At 32.8% G+C, this 22,985-nt stretch overlaps 1 protein-coding gene across 6 annotated transcripts in view; it reads left to right on the forward strand.

The window, feature by feature from the left end:
• The window catches only part of FAT4 (FAT atypical cadherin 4), a 177,978-nt gene that overhangs the window by 149,398 nt on the left and 5,595 nt on the right, over positions 1-22,985 (forward strand). For all 6 annotated transcript variants that reach the window (NM_001438396.1, NM_001438397.1, NM_001291303.3 and 3 more), the window contains 5 exons: positions 4,160-4,467; positions 11,819-11,904; positions 12,803-12,982; positions 15,389-15,513; positions 17,169-17,386. In NM_001438396.1, coding sequence (NP_001425325.1) covers positions 4,160-4,467; positions 11,819-11,904; positions 12,803-12,982; positions 15,389-15,513; positions 17,169-17,386 — 917 coding nt within the window. The remainder of the gene's footprint in view (positions 1-4,159; positions 4,468-11,818; positions 11,905-12,802; positions 12,983-15,388; positions 15,514-17,168; positions 17,387-22,985) is intronic.

Below are 22,985 nucleotides of genomic sequence, written 5' to 3' on the forward strand. Positions count from 1 at the left end.
CCAAAAACCATGAGATTCAGAGGAAGCATTTGTATTAGCTTGGCTTGTTTCATAAGTTTGTGATTATTCCATTCTTTTTAAAGGCTGCTTTACACCACAGCATAGAATCCATCTCCAAATGACTCTGTCTCTTTTCTTTTTTTTTTTGTCCCCTTTGTATATCTATTTATTTATTTTTTTATTATACTTTAAGTTCTAGGGTAATGTGCACAACGTGCAGGTTTGTTACATATGTATACATGTGCCATGTTGGTTTGCTGCACCCATCAACTCGTCATTTACATTAGGTATTTCTCCTAATGCTATCCCTCCCCCCTTCCCCACCCCATGACAGGTCACGGTGTGTGAAGATCCCCTTCCTGTGTCCAAGTGTTCTCATTGTTCAATTCCCACCTATGAGTGAGAACATGCGGTGTTTGGTTTTTTGTCCTTGCGATAGTTTGCTGAGAATGATGGTTTCCAGCTTCATCTATGTCTCTTTTCTTAAGCAAGAAAGAGCAAGGATATTTTTCTAGTCTTCCTTTGGGCATATAACTGTGCTATATGGACCTGAACAGTAAAGCTCAATCTATAGTAGATAATAGAATTTAAAAGACATACGCAGTTCCTAATAACCTGTATAATTTACTAGGTATTTTTAATTTCCAAACAACTTCATGACTATCTGTTTTTATTAAGCACATCCATAGAATGATAAAGACAAACAAAATAGAAAAATATCTAATTTTGAGGAATGTATTTTACCAATGGTTTTGAGGCCCAGAAATTGGCTGATTTGCCCAAAGTCAAAAAATGAAGTTGAGGCAAAACTACCCCAAGACGATGTAGCAACTAGAACACAATTTTTTATTTTCAGTCCAGTATGACATTCACAGAACCCCTTTTTATACAATTTCTTTGAAATTCTAACAATGCCTGTGAAGTAATGAAAGGTATATCAAGGTCAAAATAACCACAACTTGAGATGTCCAAAAACTTTTTCTTTCTTTCAATGGTGTCTCATCATTTTAAGTGGTGCTGCTTTCTACAGATAACCACAGTCAAATTTCATGGTTTAACTTAACATTTTGAGATAAAAGATAAGGGGATTAGAGTGTAAACTAGAAATGATTTTCAAGTGACTGAACAGAGATGTTCATATTTTTAGGGATCCCTTTGCAAATTTTAAGGATTTAAGTTTTGAGGATTTTGAGTTGCAAATTTGGGGATTTAAGAAAATTGATACACAATAAAAACAAGTTGCTGCTGCAGTGTAGTGGTACAACTGTCGTTGCCTATTAAGTGGAACTACTTGAGGGGCCAAATGTACCTTCTTGTCACTCTGTAGACATCGCCAGGGGAAGAGGAATAGCACAATGTAAATTAAAATAGACACAAATCACACATAGCCGGCAGTGCAAATTTCTCCCCCTATTCCTTCCAGGGGCAAAGACAAAAAACATTATCTAAACTTAGATATTGTCAGTTGACAACATAAGCACTTACAAAAGAAAACAAAAATCACTGAAACACTGCTATGTAATTTGAAACTAAAGAGATAGAAGCAGAAACAAAAATGATTTTTGTTCTCAAATGGAATGTGGATGAAAGGTACAAATAACCATGTCAGATGGCATGCCTCAAATAAATAGCCAGAGGTAGGTAGTTACACTTGCATCCTTTAAAACAAAACTTTATCATTTTGAAGTTAGAAAAAAGTTTTTTGCACTGTTTAGCTTCTCATCAATAAAAGATTGGCTATTTGGATTTCAAAAAATTTTTTCGATACTTAGATTTTTTAATTTAAATTACATCTTAGGAAAAACATAGTGCTTCAGACATTATAAAGGCGACATGTATAATTATAACTTCTTAGAATTAAGATGCGACCTTTCTGTGAAAACAGTACCAAAACCTTTTAAGAATAAATATTTTAAATTCCATAAAGAAATATTTTCATGTTTGAAAATACAGTATCAATTTGAATTAAAATGTAAGTATCTATATACTTTCTCCATATATTTACACTCAAATATTCAGCACATTGTTATAGATTTATTGAAGTTTATTCAGAAGAGACCTAAGTGAACACATAATACAAATTTTTTCAGTAGTATTTTTATTTCATTTATATGCTTTATTTTTCCTTTTACTTTAACTTCACTTACTCTTTCTGCATAGATAGCATATTTATATACAAATTATTAATACATACAAATTATAAATATTAAATATAGATGCCACAGAAATGTATAAAATACAAATACAAATTCTACAGGATAGATATAAGTATATAATGTATAAGATTATACTATGTATAAAATATTATCTCTATATATCATATATATGACATAACATATATATCAATAAATATCATTTCTATAATTCCTTTGCCTTTTCTTCAACTTTGGTTAAAGATTAAAAATTAAAAATTATGTATAATTTCTTTTTTTTTTTTTTTGAGACGGAGTCTCGCTCTGTCGCCCAGGCTGGAGTGCAGTGGCATGTTCTAGGCTCACTGCAAGCTCAGCCTCCCAGGTTCACGCCATTCTCCTGCCTCAGCCTCCCGAGTAGCTGTGACTGCAGGTGCCTGCCACCATGCCCGGCTAATTTTTTTTTGTATTTTTAGTAGAAACGGGGTTTCACCGTGTTAGCCAGGATGGTCTTGATCTCCTGACCTCGTGATCCGCCCACCTCGGCCTCCCAAAGTGCTGGGATTACAGGCGTGAGCCACCATGCCTGGCCAAAATGATGTTTAATTTCTACTCATTTATAATAAATATTATTTCAGTCTGGACAGAAAAGGAAAAGATAAATAACACAAACTTTTATAGCAACTTCTAGGCTGTTTTAATTTTAAAAATGTTCTGATATAACATGTGGTAGTCAAAATAGCTAGACAATCAGTAGATCTGGCCTCAAATTTTGGCTGTTTCTCTTGGTTCTGTGACCTTAGGCAAGTTTTAAATACTCTATAAAATAATGGCATTGGTTCCTTCTAGCTGAACAATTCTCTCACTCTAAATTTTATGCATTTATGGGACATATAAAGCCAAAATTAAGAAATGAAACTTTTGCAAGTTAATAAGAATCATGAGGTATTGGCATGGGTTAATTTTCCAATCATTTGCCACAGTCTACTAATATTTGTGGGAAAAGAATTTTGGCATAACATTGTAACATCAATAAAACTCATTTTTCAAGTTTGAAAAAGAACCAGCACAAACAAATGGGAATGCTGACTTTCAGAAAAACAGACAGCTATTTTAAAGTAGCCTGCTATAAATCATACCCACAGAGGGTATAAAACAAGAAAGAGATAAAAACTTAAAAGACAGTTATTTCCTTTCCTAAACCAATGATTCCACTTGTCAGATTTTGTGGCCCTTGAAAATAACATGAATATAGGTACTGATTTTAAAAAAATCAAAACAAATGCATTTGCCATCTTCAATTGAGTTGAAATAGTTTTTAAGAACTATATATTATGAAGGAAGTATGTTGGCTGAAAATTGTAGCATAATACAACTTTTAAAAGATCAACAAATTTGGGCCGCTTGCGGTAGCTCATGCCTGTAATCCCAACACTTTGGGAGGCTGAGGCAGGCGGATCACCTGAGGTCAGGAGTTCAAGACCAGCCTGACCAACAAGGTGAAATCTCGTCTCTATTAAAAATACAAAATTAGCCAGGCATGGTTCCCGGCACCTATAATCCCAGCTTCTCGGGAAGCTGAGACAAGAGAATCGCTTGAACCCAGTAGGCAGAGGTTGCAGTGAGCAGGCACTCTAGTCTAGGCAACAAGAGCAAAACTCTGTCCCAAAATAAAAAAAATAAAAAAAAAATCAATGAATTTTGAAACGTTTCTGGGAAAGAAATCTCTTCAGACATACTCCATTCCACTAAGCCTTTCATTTTGAGAAACAAAACATACTTAGATATGTTCCCTAATTAGACAATGAAAAATAATTACATCAGTTAATCATTTCTGCCATGTTTTAAAGATCATTCATTCATAAAGATCATTAACTATTTTAATTTTAGTTTAGATGAAATTTTTTGGAAAGTAAAAAAAGTTGTTAAAAGATATCTCATTTTATAATTCAAAAATATTTTAATCAAAATATATAATAAAATTTTCATGAAATTTTATGCCAGTTTGTCAATTTTCCCTCCAACAGGTGTCTTTGGAAAACACTGCGAGTTGAACAGTTATGGATTTGAGGAGTTATCATACATGGAATTTCCAAGCTTGGACCCCAATAACAACTATATTTATGTCAAATTTGCCACGATTAAAAGTCATGCCTTATTGCTTTACAACTATGACAACCAGACAGGCGACCGGGCTGAGTTTTTGGCCCTTGAAATTGCCGAAGAAAGACTAAGATTCTCTTATAATTTAGGCAGTGGTACATATAAGCTCACCACCATGAAGAAGGTGTCAGATGGACATTTTCACACTGTGATTGCCAGGAGAGCAGGAATGGTAAGATATTTCATTTTATTGTTGTTGTATATCCAACTGGATCTTCAAATAAAGTATGAATTGGGGTGCAAATCATGTTAAATTAGGTTTATTCATTAAATGAACACTTTAGTTATGAAAAACTTAGACATAATATTTTTCTTTTGCTCATGACAACTCTGTTCAAAAACAATAAAAAGGAGAACAATTGAGAATATAGCCTAGTGCGTGAAATAATTTCATTGATATTTTTTGTATGTTTTTAAGGCCATGTCAGGACTATACTTAAAATAACTACCTTTCTTTCCTAAGTATTTCTGCCTTGACTAAGTATTTCTGCCTTGACTGAAGAAACAATTTAGGAACAGAGGAGACTTTTCTACAAAATCTACATAAAATAACTTAATCAAAAACACTTTATTGTTAAAAAATGGTAACAATAGTCTTAGCTAGTCATAGTCTTTTTGCTGGTGGAGGGTCTTGCCTTGATATTGGTGGCTCCTGACTGAGCCAGGTAGTAGTGGCTGAAGATTCGTGGTGGGGGCTATGGAAATGTCTTAAAATAAAACAACAGGAAACGTTGTCACATTGATTAACTCCTTTTTCATGAAAGATTTCTCTGTAGCATTTGAGGCTATTTGATTGATACCATTTTACCCACAGATGAAATTGTTTCAAACTTGAAGTCAAGCCTCTCTCAAACCTTGATGCTAATTTATTAATTAAGCCTATGGAATATTCTAAATCCTCTGTTGTCATTTCAACAATGTTCACAGCATCTTCACCTGGAGTAAGTTGTATCTTAATAAACCGCTTCCTTTGTTTATCCCTAAGAAGCAGCTTCTCATCCTTTCATGTTTGTTTTGCAAGATTGTAGCAGCTCAATCACATCTTCGGGCTTCACTTCAAATTCTAGTTCTCCCACTGTGTCTACCACATTGGCAATTACTTCCTCCATTGAAGTCTGGAAGCCCTCAAGCTCATCCATGAGAGTCAAAAATCAACTTCCTCCGAACTCCTTTTAATATTTGATATTTTGACCTCCTTCCATTAATCATGAATGTTCTTCATGGCATCTAGAATGGTGACTCCTTTCCAGAAGGTTTTTAATTTACTTTGCCCAGACCTATCAGAGGAATCATCATCTGTGGCAGCTATAGCCTTATGAAATGTATTTTTTAAATAATAGGACTTGAAAGTCCAAGTGACTCTTTGATCCATAGGCTGTAGTCTGGATGCTGTGTTAGCAAGCATGAAAACAACACTAATCTCCTTATACATCATTGTCAGAGCTTTTGGGTGACCAGGTGCATTGTCAGTGAGCAGTAATATTTTGAAAGGAATCTTTTTTTCCGAGTAGTAGATCTTAACAGTAGGCTAAAAAATATTCAATAAACCATGCTGTAAACAGATGCACTGTCATCCAGGCATTTCTGTTTACTGATAGAGCACAGATGCAGTAGATTTAGCATAATTCTTAAAGACCCTAGGATTTTTAATATGGAAAAGGAGCACTGGTTTCAATTTCAAGACACCAGCTATATTCACCCCTGATGAGAGAGTCAGCCTATCCTTTGAAGCTTTTAACCCAGGCATTCACTTCTTTTCTCTAGCTATGAAAATCCTAGATGACATCTTCTAATAAAAGGCTGTTTTTTTACATTGAAAGTCTGTTCTTTAGTGTAACCACCTTCATCAATGACCTTAGCTAGATCTTCTGGATAACTTGCTGCAGCTTCTATATCACCATTCACTGCTTTGCTTTGTCCTACTACCTTACAGAGATGACTTCTTTCCTTAAACCTCATGAGCCAACCTCTGCTACATTCCAACTTTTCTTCTGTACTTTCCTCACCTCTCTCAGCCTTCATGCAATGGAAGAGAGTTAGTGCCTTTTTCTAGATTAGATGTTGGCTTAAGGGAATGTTGTAACAGGTTTGATCTTCTATCCAGACTGCTAAAACTTTCTCCATATCAGCAATAAGGCTGTCTTGCTTTCTTATCATTTGTATATTCACTGGAGTAGCACCTTTAATTTCCTTCAAGAACTTTTACTTTGCATTTACAGCTCGGCTAACTATTTGGCACAAGAAGCCTATTTGGCCTATCTTGACTTTCGAAATGCCTTCGTCACTAAGCTTATTCATTTTTACATTTTCATATAAAGTGAGAGAAATGCAACTCTTCCTTTCACTTGAGCACTTAGAGGCCATTGTAGGGTTATTCGTTGGCATAATTTCAGTAGTGTTTTATCTCAAGGTACAAGGAAGCCTGAGGATAGGTAGAGAGACCAGAGACAGATAATTGCTGGAACAGCCAGAACATAAATAACATTTATCAATTAAGCTTGCCATCGTATATGGCACGGTTCATGTTGCCACAAAATAATTATAATAGTAACATCCAAGGACACTTCACTCATCACAGATCACCATACCACATAAAATAATAATGAAATATTTGAAATATTGTGAGAATTATTCAAATGTGACTCACAGTCACAAAGTAAGCACATGCTGTTGGAAAAATGGTGCTGATAGACTTGCTGGATGCAGGATTACCAGAAACCTTCAATTGGTAAAAAATAAAATATCTGCAAAGTGCAATAAAGTGAAGAGCAATAAAATGAGGCATGCATGTATTTATAGATTATATTGATTTTATTATGTGGCTTTCATGTTACAAGAATGACATATCTATTTAGGACTTGTGTTTATTAAATAAATACTTTTCTTTATAAAGGAAAATGCATCACATCTTTTCTTTATTAATGTTTGAAAATATTTGACATAGTATAATAGAATGGAATGGCTTATTTATTTTTTATTCTTTATTTATCTTCACAACTATCTCTCCATATTTCCCCCATCTCTAACAGCTATCAAGGATTTTTAATAAGAAAATGCTAACAAATCTGTCTTAAAGTATTTTTGCACTTTAACTTTGAGCCTTTAAAAGTGTAGTTACTGGTGGCCAGGCGGGGTGGCTCACGCCTGTAATCCCAGCACTTTGGGAGGCCGAGGCGGGCGGATCACGAGGTCAGGAGATCGAGACCATCCTGGCTAACACAGTGAAACCCTGTCTCTACTAAAAATACAAAAAAAAAAAAAAAAAAAAAAAAAAAAAAAATTAGCCCGGCATAGCGGTGTGCGCCTGTAGTCCCAGCTGCTGGGGATAGGCAGGAGAATGGCGTGAACCTGGGAGGCGGAGCTTGCAGTGAGCCGAGATCTCGCCACTGCACGCCAGCCTGGGTGACAGAGCAAGACTCTGTCTCAAAAAAAAAAAAAAAAAGGGTAGTTACTGGTAAGATTTATAATTCACCCTAGATAAAGGAATTGTGTAAAATGTTAAATTGTCTGTTAAAAAGAAAGCCTAGCCAAAACAACAAAATAAGTGCCCTTAAATCATTTTAAATGAAAAAACTTGGTATGTAAATGATTATAATTGTATTTCTGACTTCATGGCAATCTTTAAAATATATGACAACTTATATAGTCCTTAGACTGATCATATGAATCATACATTTGTGTGACTATAGAGAAATTTTTGCCACTAAATGTATGGAATATGTTATATTGCTGAATGCATATCAGCAATATTCAGAAGTAATATTTAAAATGTTTTTAACCAAGCTTTTGCTAGTTTTTTTCCCTATGACACGTAGTTAATTTTAAAGGCTAAAATTTATGCAATCTATAATTACCAATTTCATAAGGGCATAAGACAGAAACTACCTTATAATATTAATTATTTTTGACCAGTACACATAACAGACAATCTATTATGAAAGAACAAAATTTGTCATTTGATCTCAGGAATATTTTATAAATCCATGTTTATTTTGAATTGGCATCAGATACAATGACATTTCTCTCCTCCACTCTAATTTACTACAACATTAAAGGAAATTTAAGCAAGTTTTAAAATACAGAACTATTTTTAATTATGAGGGGGAAAAAGAATAATGATTAGCTTTAAATATAACCAATTGATTGTGTCAACATGGTCAAGGGTAGCTGCTCAGACATGTCATTCACGGATATCGCCACATCCATCAAACTGCATTCAGGGTCCTACCAGGTTATTAAATGTATGTTACTTGAAATATTGGTGAGAAAACAACAGAAGTATTGTATGGTTTTTATCAATCATTTTAGTTATAGATGGTTTTCCATTTCCTTTTGAACTTAGTGTTAATATTTTCCAGCTGGAACATTTTTCTAATATATTTAATTTATATAGTGTTTACTTAATAAAATTACCCCCAACATTCCAAAAATGTTGTCAAGACATAATGTTATATTTTATATTTTAATTCTAATATGCCCACATTTCCATATTATTGTAAAGGTTAATATTAATCATAATTAAAATTTTATTTCTGTGAATTAGGTGCTTAAACAGGTGTTGGTCACCCTGAATTATCACCAACACAACCCACATATAACCTTTTGAAGTAAAATAATGGAATATTTTACTTGATCTTGGTCTCAATGAAGTTTACATTATGAGTAGTGCCTAAAAATCCACCTGACTTTAATGAACATTAGTAGAGGTATAACAAACAAATCTTGGATAAAATATATTTTCTGATTAGTATAGGTTACTGCACTGATTTTTGCTTGAGATTTTAAAAATCCAGCATTCTCTGGAAGAATATAGATTTAATCAATTCTAGTATTCCTGATGATTGATGTAACCAGAAATATTGGGCCTTAAAGAATTAGAAAAACATTTAGAGATTGATATATATAGATTGGGCTCACATTAGCCATAATAATATCCTAAAACTGATGAGTAATAGTAGACATCACCTCACCCCCATTCTCCACACATATGTAAGATAACCATATTTCTGATATGTTGTCAAGTATACTATAATGTAAAATAAACGATTTTACCTGATGACCTCCAAGGTCTCTTTAAACTTCATGAGCATTTGATTCTATCAGACAAGGACATGGGATCAAGAGGTGAGTGGAGAAGGATGCAGTTTCATTTGTATTATTGTGACCATAGTCATCAATTTTTAATAATACCAAATGTGAAAAAAACTCTGTCATTATTACTTGAGTCATAGGAAAAATGTCTTCCTGTTTCAGAAAACATCCAAAATAAGGCCCCTACTGGATTCTGAATTTGTCATTTTCTACATTTCAAAATAATTTTGGTTGGAAACTGGCAAAATCATTAACCTCTAAGCTTTAAGTCATTGCATAGTTGGGATAAAACATTTTAATTTATGGTGGTAAAGCTATAAAAATTCAACAGTAAAAGAGAATTTAACTCTGAAGATTAAATTGCATAAGCTTACTATTAAAATAAAACATCTCCTCCATTATTCTTTCTTTGAGTTGTATCAGCAAGCTTTTAGATGTATACGAAATATTAACAATGACTAAAATATAATTATGTTATCCAAGGTTATTTTTCTAATTGAGGCATTTATAAATATCCATGTGGTACTTTCTAGTTTATGATACTTTTAGGGATCTCTACAAGGATACTTGCATAATATATGTGGAGAGATGTGTTCAATCAAGTAGTCACCTAAGCAGCAGAAGTTGAATTATAAAAACCTAATACTGCTTTTGAGATTGGATGTCACCGCATTTTACAGATAACTGAAAATAATCATAACTATCAAAAGAGTAAACTAAATGGGGCATGAATGACTTGCCAGAGAATTGGAAGTATAAATTTTTCCTACAAATGTTAGTATTTATTATAATTTACTTGAAAAAAATGGCAAAAAAAATTCCATGTGGCTCACAAGAGTTTACTGTATAGAGCTTATAATAATTAACTTAGAAACATTTAAGAATATGTTAGCCAGTAATATTTGATAAACAATTAATAAATGGATTATACATTCACCTCAGTCTTTGTTTTTAAAATGTGAGATACTTCAGATAAATTTTTACAAGTCTCCCATTTAAATATATGTTTTATGGATACTGCCTAAAAATCATAAGCAATATTGATAAAAGTAGGATATTAAGGAAATTAATCATTTTCATTCCTAATGAAAGTGGCCTGATTTTTTAATACAGAAAATTTGATATCCAAAACTTTGCATTTAAGTTTGGCATGTTATTAGTCAACTTGCTTAACTTCCTGCACTGTTTTCTACATTTGCTTTGCTCTTATTAAACTGAAATGATAAGCATCCTGATAAATGAATAGTTGCATTGTATTTATATTTCTCTGCTACATATGTAACAAATTTGGATTAACCCTGTCTGTGGCATTCGTAAATTTAGAATAACGCTTTATTGTCTGCATTGGGAGAAACCTTTCAACCTCTTGTCCATTTGGATAATGAATTATTGCTATTCCTGTGATATACTGGCACTACACTCCATCCTTCTTACAATTTCAGCAAGTAAAGTGTGCAAAGTTTGTCATTTGTCAAATTTTAATGAAGTTTGGGGAACAAAGGAGGTGTATCACAATAGCATTGGAGATTACACAATAATATAGATATACAACTTTGGTCTTAGACTGCACTGCAGCCATCCTCACTTGCTGGTACTCATTATACAGGACTCTGACTTGTATGGTTATCATGTTCTGAGGCCTTTTAACCATAAATTTATGACTTTGTTTATCAATCAAAAGGAGTATTCATATGTTCTACTAAACAGAAGGCTTTTGTCTCAAGGGAATACGCATCCCTTAGAATGCAAAAATACTACTTAGTCATTATTTAAATACTATTGGGGATTTTTTACTGTAAAGTGATCTACAGTAATACATCCTGATTATACAGAAATATGCTGTAATGTTATTTATAAATAATTATTCTTAACAAAAATGAGAGGAGCACTTACTTGATTTAACAAATTTCAAATTTTAATCCAAATATTTAAATTTTCATAGATTGCTATATAGTATTTATATTGTATTTTCCTAATCTTTTTGTAAATGTGGCTGAAATCATATTAGAATAAGACTTTTGAAAATCAAAAATTAAGTGTCTTTTGTTAACATAGCTTGACAGTACAATAAACACGTTTCTTAAGATTGTAATCTACAGGAAGATGTTTCAGACCTATTGTGTATTATTCTAAAAAAGATTAACGGCATTTTTATCTTTTTTCACCTATAAAACAGGGGAGCAGGAGAGGATTTTTAAAGGTACCCTTTTACCTCTCATAGGTATAGATAGTCATAATTTTAGTTTGAGATATCAAAGAAACATGTGCCCATGATTCAATATTATAATTATGTGATTTATACATTAAATCAAGATGTTATCATAGTTTCTAAGTCATGTTCACATAGAAGCAAGTCATGGGTAGTGTTGGCTGGAAAGGCTAATAGGGACGGTAGAACTCAAAGTTGAATGTTTCTTTCTCTTGCTTCGTAGGCAGCCTCCTTAACTGTGGACTCCTGTTCTGAGAACCAAGAGCCAGGATATTGTACTGTCAGTAATGTGGCAGTTTCAGATGACTGGTAAGGAATAGGATTAGTTTAATTTTTATTATTACTTAAAATTTTTTAAAATAAACTTTATACCTAAAAATAATTATAGGATGCTAAGTAGTACATAAAGCTTAAGATATTTTATTTCCCTCTCCAAATTTTCATAATATAAAATAGTCAATAATTACTGTGCAAAATGTGTTAAAATGTGTGAAATGAAGTGGTAGAAATAAGGATAAAATTGGAGAAAAGGAAATTAAATATAGCCAGTAGTCTTTGGAAAGATTCATGAAATAATTGCATATGACCTTCATTCTGAAAAACATGTAGGATAAAGACCTCAGTTCTTTCAAATGCGTTTCTAAAAGTTTACGTGAAAATTATTAACAGATATTTTTCCATAGCACTTAAAGCTGAGCACAGCAGTAATCTACCAGAAAATAAGTGATTTTAATAGGAAAAATGATAAACAGAGAAAAATAAGTAGTCACGCATCATGATGCATCATTCATTGCCTCAATCAACTTATTGGCATCCCTTGCATTGATCAACTTACTGATATTCTTTATCATCTCTTCAGGGAAGGAGCAGTGTAATCTAACGTAAATATTAGAGTTGTCACTAATTCTACAGCATTTTATTTTCCCTCTGAGAGTATGCTCCTTCTTGTTGACTCAGTATTGTGATAATATACATCTAACTTGACTAATTGAAAACATAATTTCCATAAATATTATTATTTTTCATAATTCGGAAGTCTAACAACTCTGTGTGTGTATTGGACACTCTTCTACATATTTTCCATTGAAATTTATCACACTATAATAAATGTCAAAAAAAAGCTATATTCACTCTTTTTCGAACTAAACATTATACTAAAAATGTAATCTTTTGACACTAATATTTATATCTTCCATTATTTATTTAGGACTCTTGATGTTCAGCCAAATAGAGTTACAGTTGGAGGTATCAGATCTCTAGAACCAATCCTTCAGAGAAGAGGACACGTGGAAAGCCATGATTTTGTTGGGTGTATAATGGAGTTTGCAGTCAATGGAAGGCCTCTGGAACCCAGCCAAGCTTTGGCAGCACAAGGCATCCTAGATCAGTATGGCGATTTTATTTCTTACTGTTTTAAAGAAAAAAAATGCAAAAAAGTATGCTTCAGTGAGCATCAAAAGATGAAATTATTATGCTCAAATCTCTAAAAATACCAAATGATTTACATTGTTTTGAATTTTAAATACTATACCTTTGAAATTTTGGCATAAAGTATGATATTTAATTAGAAAATTAATATGTTTCTAGATTCTTATACATATATATATATATATATATGCATGTGGGCATGTATATGTTTTATCCTCTTACAGAGAGTTGTGAAGATTAAATTAGTTAAGTTGGTAAATTATATAAAAAAGGGTTCCAGCACAGAGAGATATGTAGATGTTAGCCATCATGGACACATAGAACTTTATTTCACATTAAATAGTTTTACTTATAGACATACATATTCCTAAAAACTTGATACAGCTTTAAAAACAGGCAATAACTTGATTAATTATGAACTGTAAGGCTTTTTTATTTGATTATTAATTAGGTTTCTAGCAATAACTTAGGGATGTTAGAAATTACATATTTTATTTTAAAATTCCTTTTGTTCATTATCGAAGTTTGAAAAATTCTGAAAAAATACAAGGAAGAAAACAAAATTAACCTATAATCTAACCACCCAGAGACAACTACTCTTAGGTTATTGTCATGTTTTGACTGCTTAGTATCCCAAGATGTGAATGTGCTATATTTTAACTGTTGCTATACACTTTAGTTATTTCCAATTTTATTAATATACCAATTACCCTGTGATGAACACATTTTCACAAAAATCTTTGCTCACATTATTTTTTGGATGAGATTACCAGAAATAAAACTATTAAAGGCAAAGCTAGGAATACTTTCTAATGTTTGTAACTTAAGTATTTTAATAACATTTTCTATTTGCCTTTCTTTTCCTACATGTTGTTACTGTTTTGTTACAAAGTCACACTAGTTCGTTATTATTATTAATCAAACAGTACAGAAAAACAAAGGATTGGGATTGCCACCATTGTTAATACTTCGGTGTGCATCCTTTTATATCTCCGTGTTCACACAAGTACTTTTTTAAATATCAATTTTTTTTTTCATTTAGAGATATTTTGTGAACATCTTTTTAGGTCAAAACCTACTGAAACAAAACTTTTAGACTTACCTTTAACTCCTCTGTTTCTGTTAGACCTTATGTCCAGAATGATGTTTCTGTTTGTTTGTTTGTTTGCTTTTTGAGACAGAGTCTTGTTCTGTCGCCCAGGCTGGAGTGCAATGGCGGGATCTCGGCCCCCTGCAACCTCCACCTCCTGGGTTCAAGCAATTATCTGCCTCAGCCTCCGGAGTAGCTGGGATTACAGGTGCCTGCCACCACGCACAGCTAATTTTTGTATTTTTAGTAGAGACGGGGTTTCACCATGTTGACCAGGCTGGTCTTGAACTCCTGACCTCATGATCCACCACCTCAGCCTCCCAAAGTGCTGGGATTATAGAGGAGAGCCACTGCACCCAGCCTAGAATGGTTTTTAAAACATAAGTCAGTTAACTTTTCACTTCTTGGCTCAAAGTGCTTCAATAGCTTCCCATCTCACCCAGCTTCAAAGCCAAAATCCTGACCCTGAATGAAAACATTTTTATGATCTGCCATCTCCCTTCACTTCCTGAACATATCTAACTATTCTTCTTCTTGTGCCCTGAGCTCCAACCATGTTGGGCCTCGGTGTTTCTCAAACATGGCAGTACGCTTTCACTTCAAGGCTTTCTCACTGGCTGTTTCCTCTAGCTGAAAAGATATTCTACCAGATATACTTCATTCCCTTATTTTATTTAGGTCTTAACAAAGATTAAGATTAATTCACTGCCTAATCTAAAGATTCAGCAAACCCGCAAACTCACTATACCCTTTCTCACCTTGATTTTCTCTATAGCTATTTTTTTCTTTATTTTCTGCCTCTTCCACAAGAAAAAATAAGTACTTCCTCAGTACACGGTTATTTTTTCATTACTTTACTTCCATGCTTAGAACAGTGCTTAGCATATGGTAGGCATTCAATAAACATTAGTTGCATGAGTATCCTGATAGACATGTGTCAAAAAATATGTGGTCCCTGGATCATATGTATTAACCAAAGTGTTTATTTGACCAAGGTATTTTATTCAAGTAAGAATTAATTTAAAGAAGAAATTGTCACAGCTTTCTCATTATTATATAAGACATAATTTTTTTTGAATCTTCTTTAGTGTGAGGCAGACTATGTTTTCTAGGAAAACTTCTGGTTTGATTAGTTTCTCCAAATGTAGTTGTAACTTGAGCTTCAAATAATGGAGTGCTTGAAATTAAACAAGCTAATAAAAGTGTATATTGAGTTTTAGCAAACTTCTCCTCATCTTTTATGTGCGTTATTGTTCTCATTATGATTTATTTTAGATGCCCTAGGCTGGAAGGCGCTTGTACTCGCAGCCCATGCCAACATGGTGGCACATGTATGGATTACTGGTCATGGCAGCAGTGTCATTGCAAAGAGGGACTCACTGGGAAATACTGTGAAAAATGTATGTAAGGTCTTCCGTCTTCCCCTGGAAATTTTAATAACTATGAAAAGTAAAATATATGCACCCAAGTATGTAATCAAATTAAAAATTATGCTTTCATTCTAAATATTAAAATATTAAATGGACAATAATTGGTAAAATACAGTGACATTTTAAAAATTATTTTTGTAACCTGAAGAAGAATGATATCCTTTTAAAAAATCGTTTACTAACTAAATCTCTAGCTTCCACTTTAAAGGTATTTTATTCACTTATTTTTGTTTGTTTTATTTCTTAGAATTCTAGGCAATCTAAAAGATCAAAGGTTATAGTTAGGCTTTTTTTCATATTATCTGCCTTTGGGGGATATTTTTCTGGTGAATTTTTGTGCATAAAAAGGTATACACACTAAATCACTCAACACTGAGATCAAAACATCATACAGAGCCATCATAATATGTTAAAATTAATGTTGATACTTTCATTTTAATGTACAAGTAGTAGAATTAATTTTGAATATTACTTTTTAAAATCCTTTCATCATTGTCTTCTAAGCCTAATGTTATTATTTAGACATTAATGATGTTCATATCATCATTAGAAAATGGTGCTCTCTAATTTCGAGCTGCACATCTCACTAACTAACCCTAATGGTTCCTCTTTTGTAAAAATTCTTCATTTTCAAACAAGTGGTTACTACTTAACTCCATTGCAGGTATCTGACTACATTTAAGGAGTCATTTGATTAAATTATATTATGAAAACAAATAGAAATGCATAATAAAATTGAGGATATAATATAATCTAAAAGGTCTTAGCAGAAAGTGTAATTGTGTGTAATAATATTAGATATAATGAAAACATAGAAAATATATACTGTCATGTGATTTTCAATGTAATAAATATTTATTAAGGAGCCTAATTATATCTGAAATATGAGTCATTGGCTAGATAAATACCAGAGACACTTTTTCTTAAATCATGATATAACTCACATACTATAAAATGTATTCTTTTAAAGTGTATCTTTCAGGGCTGAAATCCATTTGAGCTCATTTTCTTAATATTCTTTCTTTAGCTATATTATTTGTTTCTATAACTTAAGCTTCAATATTTCTGGAATGTGGATTTTTTTCAGATTACAATAAACTATAATATACATACTGATTATACATGATGATAAATTATATGTGATGATTACTGAAAATAAAGTTAGTTACCGATGTAAATACTTGATTGAACACTTCTTTGTCCTAATTTATAGCATACTAGAGACTAAAGATTACAAATCATTTTAACCATGCAAACGTATATTTTGGAAACACAGTGAAAATGATTACAAACAAATTTTTCAAGTACATATTACCAACAAGTGCCTGTCTTTAGATATTCATAATTTACGTAATGTGGCAAATAGTTTAGTAAAATATTTCCCAAATGGTTAATGACTGTCATAGAGTATTTTAAGTTCATGGTTCTGAAATGCATTTAAACATGTGAAATCAACTTATATAATGATTCATAAATGGAAATTATTTTTTAAGAGTAGAGTTGGGGGACATTAATTCCCAAAACGACATTTTCATTGTCCTTTTTATATTTTTGTCACTATAGAAAACACTCCAAGAAATGCCAAATGAATGCATTCATTTTCCCTTTTTTCCTTTGACTTCCAGCTGTTACTCCTGACACTGCCTTATCATTAGAAGGCAAAGGGCGCTTGGACTACCACATGAGTCAGAATGAGAAGCGGGAATATTTGTTAAGGCAAAGCTTACGAGGTGCCATGTTGGAGCCTTTTGGTGTGAACAGTCTGGAAGTAAAATTTAGGACCAGAAGCGAGAATGGCGTTTTAATCCATATCCAAGAAAGCAGCAATTACACTACTGTGAAGGTGAGATAAAAGCTAATGGTGACTTCATTTGATTAGACCGCCTGCCGTGTAGTGGTTTAAATCACTTCCCCCATAATTTCTGTCCTTTTCTTTACAACCCATTAGAGTTCCGACTAATGCTGGGCACTATTCCAATGTCATCTATCTTAACTATTCCCCAGGCATTGGCCAGAGTAACAAAGATCTGAATGGTTTGGTTTCTACACACTTTTGTGTTGCTTTAGAGTAGAGAACCCTGCCAGGTAGGCCAGCACACAAAGAATTAGTTGCAATCTATTTTTCTGGTAAGAATTTATATCACTTCTTTTCTTACTTTTAGACAAAGCAAACCAAAAATATAATGTTTGTTTGAAATACAAAAATATTTTTCTCCAACAATTATTTCAAATATTGATATGTATATGTCAATTGACAGGATTAGAATAAGGAAAAACATTTTGAAATAAGCAAAAACATTTTGAAATTATATGATTTCTGGAGCATATATTCAATTCTCTATATAAACTCTGTGGAGTAAAGTATATTTGGAATTCATTATAATTTTACTTAACCTTTCCAAATAATTTTTAAATAATCTTAAAAATTATGCTTCATGAGAACAATGGATTTATCATTAGGCTTTTACATAATTTGTTTTTTCTTATCTGTAAATAAGATACTAGACTTATATACAGATGAATAATTTCATTAGATATCCATTTTTGCATCGGCCCTTAGCTTTCTGAAGTTTTAAACCTATGTTCTGCTTTCTTTCCCACAAATAAGTCATCTCCTAGACCAACAGTTTCTTTAGTTTAGTTATATTTACTGCCTTCCATTAATATTACTTTGTATCATTCTACTGATAATTTTTTATATAAATTTTAGTAAATTCTTAAGATAACAAATCCAGATTTCCTGAATTATTTTCATCTATTAGTCAATATTTAATAACTACTCCAGGGATAGTTCACAGAGAAAAAGAGCAATTTGTTCAGAAAAATTATTTGGTTTAATTCACATATAATACTAAAAATAAAAATAGATGTTCACTTCTAAACTTCAGCCTCTTTCATCCTCAAAATTTTTCTCTGTGCAAGCCAACCATGATTATGTTGCATATAAATATATTTAATAAGTAGTACAAAAACCAATATTTCTTACCTTCTCAAATGATAATTCCTCTAGTCCAGTCATTTCCAACTAGGATAGATTTTACCCCCATGGGACATTTGGCAATATCTGGAGACATTTTCAATTGTCACGGTTAGGAGTTGGGAGAGTACTTCTGGCGTCTAGCGGTAGAGGTCAAGAATGCTGCTAAACAGTAGCACTTCACAACAAAGAGTTATCTGGCCCCAAATATCATTAGTGCCAAATGGCAGACACTCTACCCTTTTCCCTTACAAGAGAACATCTTCAGGTTTTAACTTTACCTCTATTGAAGCAAAGGACCCAGTTCCAGAGTTAATAAAACAACTGTAAAAGAGAACACATAAGCCATTGTATTACATTATTATCTGGTACTTATAATTTTCATTGAAAATGGTATTAGAAGTAAACAAAGTAAAGAAGCAAAAAAAGAAATAGATCCTCATCTTCTATAAGAAACATATTTTATATGGTTTGAGAGGCTTTGACATTGAGGTCTGTGTGTTATCTGTTAAGTTGCTTCCAAGTCTTCGTGCCATTTAAATGACATATGAAATATTTCTGTACTAACGTACACTTAAAGCCAAGGAATTCAGTCAAAATACAATGTGGTTGAAAAAAATCAGAGACACATTTTTTTCTTCACTAAGGAAAAAGCTGAATGTCAGGATCCATTTTTGTCACCATAAATTCTTCTACTTCCAACAGGACAGCGCATACAACTCCAGATTTTGTTAGCTTGGTAGCAATAACTTAATTTTTTTCCTGAAAGGAAAGTAAGTGCAAATTAATAAAAAAATGAATAATACAGACCAAAATGCATAGTTTTATATGAAAATTTTGAAAAGAAGCTTTTCAAAGGGGCTTGGCAGGTAAAGAGAATAGGTAAGAAAAAATAACAACAGTGAATTAAGAATAACTAAGTAAACCAAAAGAAAGTGGCTGTTGTAAGCAGGCAAATTATTTGGATGATAGGAGTATCAAGTGCTTATACAGACTAGGAAGCTAGTTAGGATGGACTTTTACTTATCAATTAGCTTATTGGTCACCAAGACCCCAGGGTTCCGTTTTTTTTTTTTTTTTTTTTGGCTCCTTTTCTGATCCTTTCTTTAACTCTTTCTTATGGTTTGCATTCTCTCTCTCTCATTCTCTTTTCTATCATTCTTTCTCTCTCTCTCTACAGACACACATACACACACACACACACACACACACACACACACACACGCAGACAGAAGATGAGGACATTTTGTGAAAAATGAGGAAGGGTGTTGGGTAAATGGGATTCCATGTGGCTAGAAGAGAGAGAGGGTGTCAGTGTCAGGTGTGGGCAGCAATAGTGATGAGAGGAGAGAGAAGAATATGTAGAATCAATTGGGTCTATTCAGAAAAAGAAAAAATTAAGAAAAGAAAGTTTCAGAGAGAAAGGCAAAAGGAAAGCATAATTGTGTAAAACTTTGTAGGCCAATATTTAACTCATTTCACAAATCTCTCTTCATTCATGGCATGCCCTATAGCTCCATATTTGATGTTCTGTAATAATAGTAATGTGATGGACTTTATTTCTACTCTAAATCAGTTCTTTTGTGTTTGTCTGGTTTTTTTAAGTGGGCAACATAGGTGATACAGAATAATTGGAATAAGGAATTCAAAGCTCTATAGATTCAAATTAAATAAATGAACAAATAAATGCAGTCATGAGTTGCATAATGACAGGAATGCATTTCGATAAATGCATTGTTAGGTGATTTCATTCTTGTGCAAACATCATAGAGTGAACTTGCTCAAACCTAGATGGTACAACCTACTATACACCTAGGCTATATGGAATAGTCTATTGCTCCTGTGCTATAAACCTGTATGGCATGTTTACTGTACTAAATACTGTAGGCAATTGTGACACAGTGGAAAGTATTTGTGTATATAATCATATCCAAAAATAAAAAAGGTACAGTAAAAAGGCTGCATTGAAGATTTTTGGGGGGATGGGGGACAGCCTGGGCAACAGGGTCTTGCTCTGTTGCCCAGGCTGGAGTGCAGTGGCATGATCTCGGCTCACTGCAGCCTCTGCCTCCTGGGCTCAATGTATCCTCCCACCTCAGCCTCCCAAGTAGATGGGACTACAGGTGTGCGTAACCATGCCGGGCTAACTTTTGTATTTTTTTGTAGGGATGAGGTTTCACATGTTGCCTAAATTGCACTTACTGTGACTGAAGCTTGTAGGACTGAAAGTTGCTCTGAGTCAGAGAGTCATTAAGCAAGTGGTGGGTCAATGTGAAGGCCTAAGACATTATTATACACTTCTGCAGACTTTATAAACACTGTATGCTTAGGTTACATTAAATTTATCAAAAATATTTTTCTTCAATAATAAATTAACTTTAGCTTACTGTAACTCTTTTAGTTTATAAACTTAAAATTTTTAACTTTTTTCTCTTTTGTAATAACAATTAAAACACAAATACATTGTACAGCTGTACAAAAATATTTTCTTTCCTTATACCCTTATTCCATAAGCTTTTTTTCTATTTTAAAAGTTTTTTATTTCATTTTATTTTTACTTTTAAACTTTTGCATTAGTAACTAAGAAACAAAAAAACACATTAGCCTCAGCCTACACAGGGTCAGTATCATCAAATCCCTGTCTTCCACCTCCACATCTTGTCCCAGTGGAAGGTCTTCAGGGACAATAACACAGATGGAACTGTCATCTCCTATGATAACAATGCCTTCTTCTGGAATCCCACCTAAAGGACCTGGATGAGGCTGGTTTACAGCTATTTTTTATATCATTAGAAGCAGTACCCTCTAAAATAATGATTAAAAAAACGGTGTAGTAAATGCATAAACCACTAATATAGTCATTTATTATCAAATTGCATGTGATATACTTTTATACAACTGGCAGCTCAGTAGGCTTGCTTACACCTGTATCCCCGCAATGAGTAATTCGTTGTGCTATGACATTACAATGGCTACTAGGTCACTAGGCAATAATAATTTTTCAGCTCCTATGGTTCATCATTGACTGTTTATTAATAAATAAAACCAAGCAAAAATTAGCATGATGTTTTAAAAGTGAAGAATTATATAAGTGTTAAGTACAGTACTGCCAGGGAGAAGGAAAACATTAAGAATGTTATAATGGGAACTTATATTCTTATCCACCCCAATTTGTGGTATATTCCAAGTGCTCTTTCATCAAAAATTTATTGAATAAAAGGATGACATGATGAAATCAATTAGGAGGAAAGAGCTGGGAGAAGGCTTTTCCTTTTTTTTTTTTTCAAAAAGGACTCCAGCTATAACCAAAGAAAGTTGCTGTTTTTACTGTGTGTCATGAGATGTTGCCCATTTGATGAAATGTTATTGTCATTTAGCTAGAATTTTCTGTTTTTTTTTTTTAGTTTGGTACTGAAATATATTATTATCTGGAAAAATTGGCTTTAATAAAATATTGCTATATGAATAACATATGTAAATGTGTTAGACATCTTTTCGGTAAAGTACAAATGAACTGATTTTTAGTTTTACCAGATGTGTTTGTTACATGTAGAAATAGCATTTGATCTGAGTGACAAAATAAACTGATCCATCTTTTCATTCCCGTTATTTGAGGAACAGTGCCACTGCATCCCCCTGCCAACACACCAGCTCTGTCTGGCAGTGGTAACAGGATTATGCTCCCTGAACCAAATGTTCATCTTGCCTCATAAATTATCTCATTTTCTAAAATGGTCTACTCAGGATACTGGAAACTCGGTAGCTGGAAACTGGAGTGGGAGCACCCTGTTACCCAATGTTCTCCTGGACAAAATAAAATAAACCAAATATCCTTTAGATAAATTGTAAAAGACAGCCAAAGTGAAGGCTTGCCCAGACACCTCATTAAGAATTCACTCTTTGTTCATCATAGTTTTTGATCTCAATAAATGATATAAACAATAGGCATCATTTTTTCCTAAAATTTGTGTGTAAAAGATGAGAGGTAAAACAATTATTTTCATCTTTATTTTTAAACTATGCTTCCCTTTTAGCTGAGCATTCTTTTTCTTTTTGCAAGTGGTTTTCACAATTTTTTAGTACTATGGGCCTTTTACTAAACGAACCAGCATAACACACTCCAATGGCAGGTTGTCATTGGAATACAAATAATTTAAAAAGGTATAATTTAATTATCTTAAATGGACATTCGCCCCTTTATTATTTCAATTGTGTTCTGGAAAATAATTCATCAAGTTTTGAGAAATTAGGTATACATATAAGAATACGTTGAAAACCATTGAAACTTAAATGTAAAAGTACATGTTGCCTAAAATTAGAGACAAAGTGTGTAAGTATATTCTAATACAACCAGATTCTTCAGCTATTCTATCTGCTGTGGACTGGTCAAAAATTTAAGTTTAGTTTTGTTAATGATTTTTATTTAAGCATACCATATTTTAATTGCATACTATTTTTAATATGT

Source organism: Homo sapiens, chromosome 4 (genome assembly GCF_000001405.40).
Source record: "Homo sapiens chromosome 4, GRCh38.p14 Primary Assembly".
In the NCBI taxonomy this organism is placed as follows: Eukaryota; Metazoa; Chordata; class Mammalia; order Primates; family Hominidae; genus Homo; species Homo sapiens.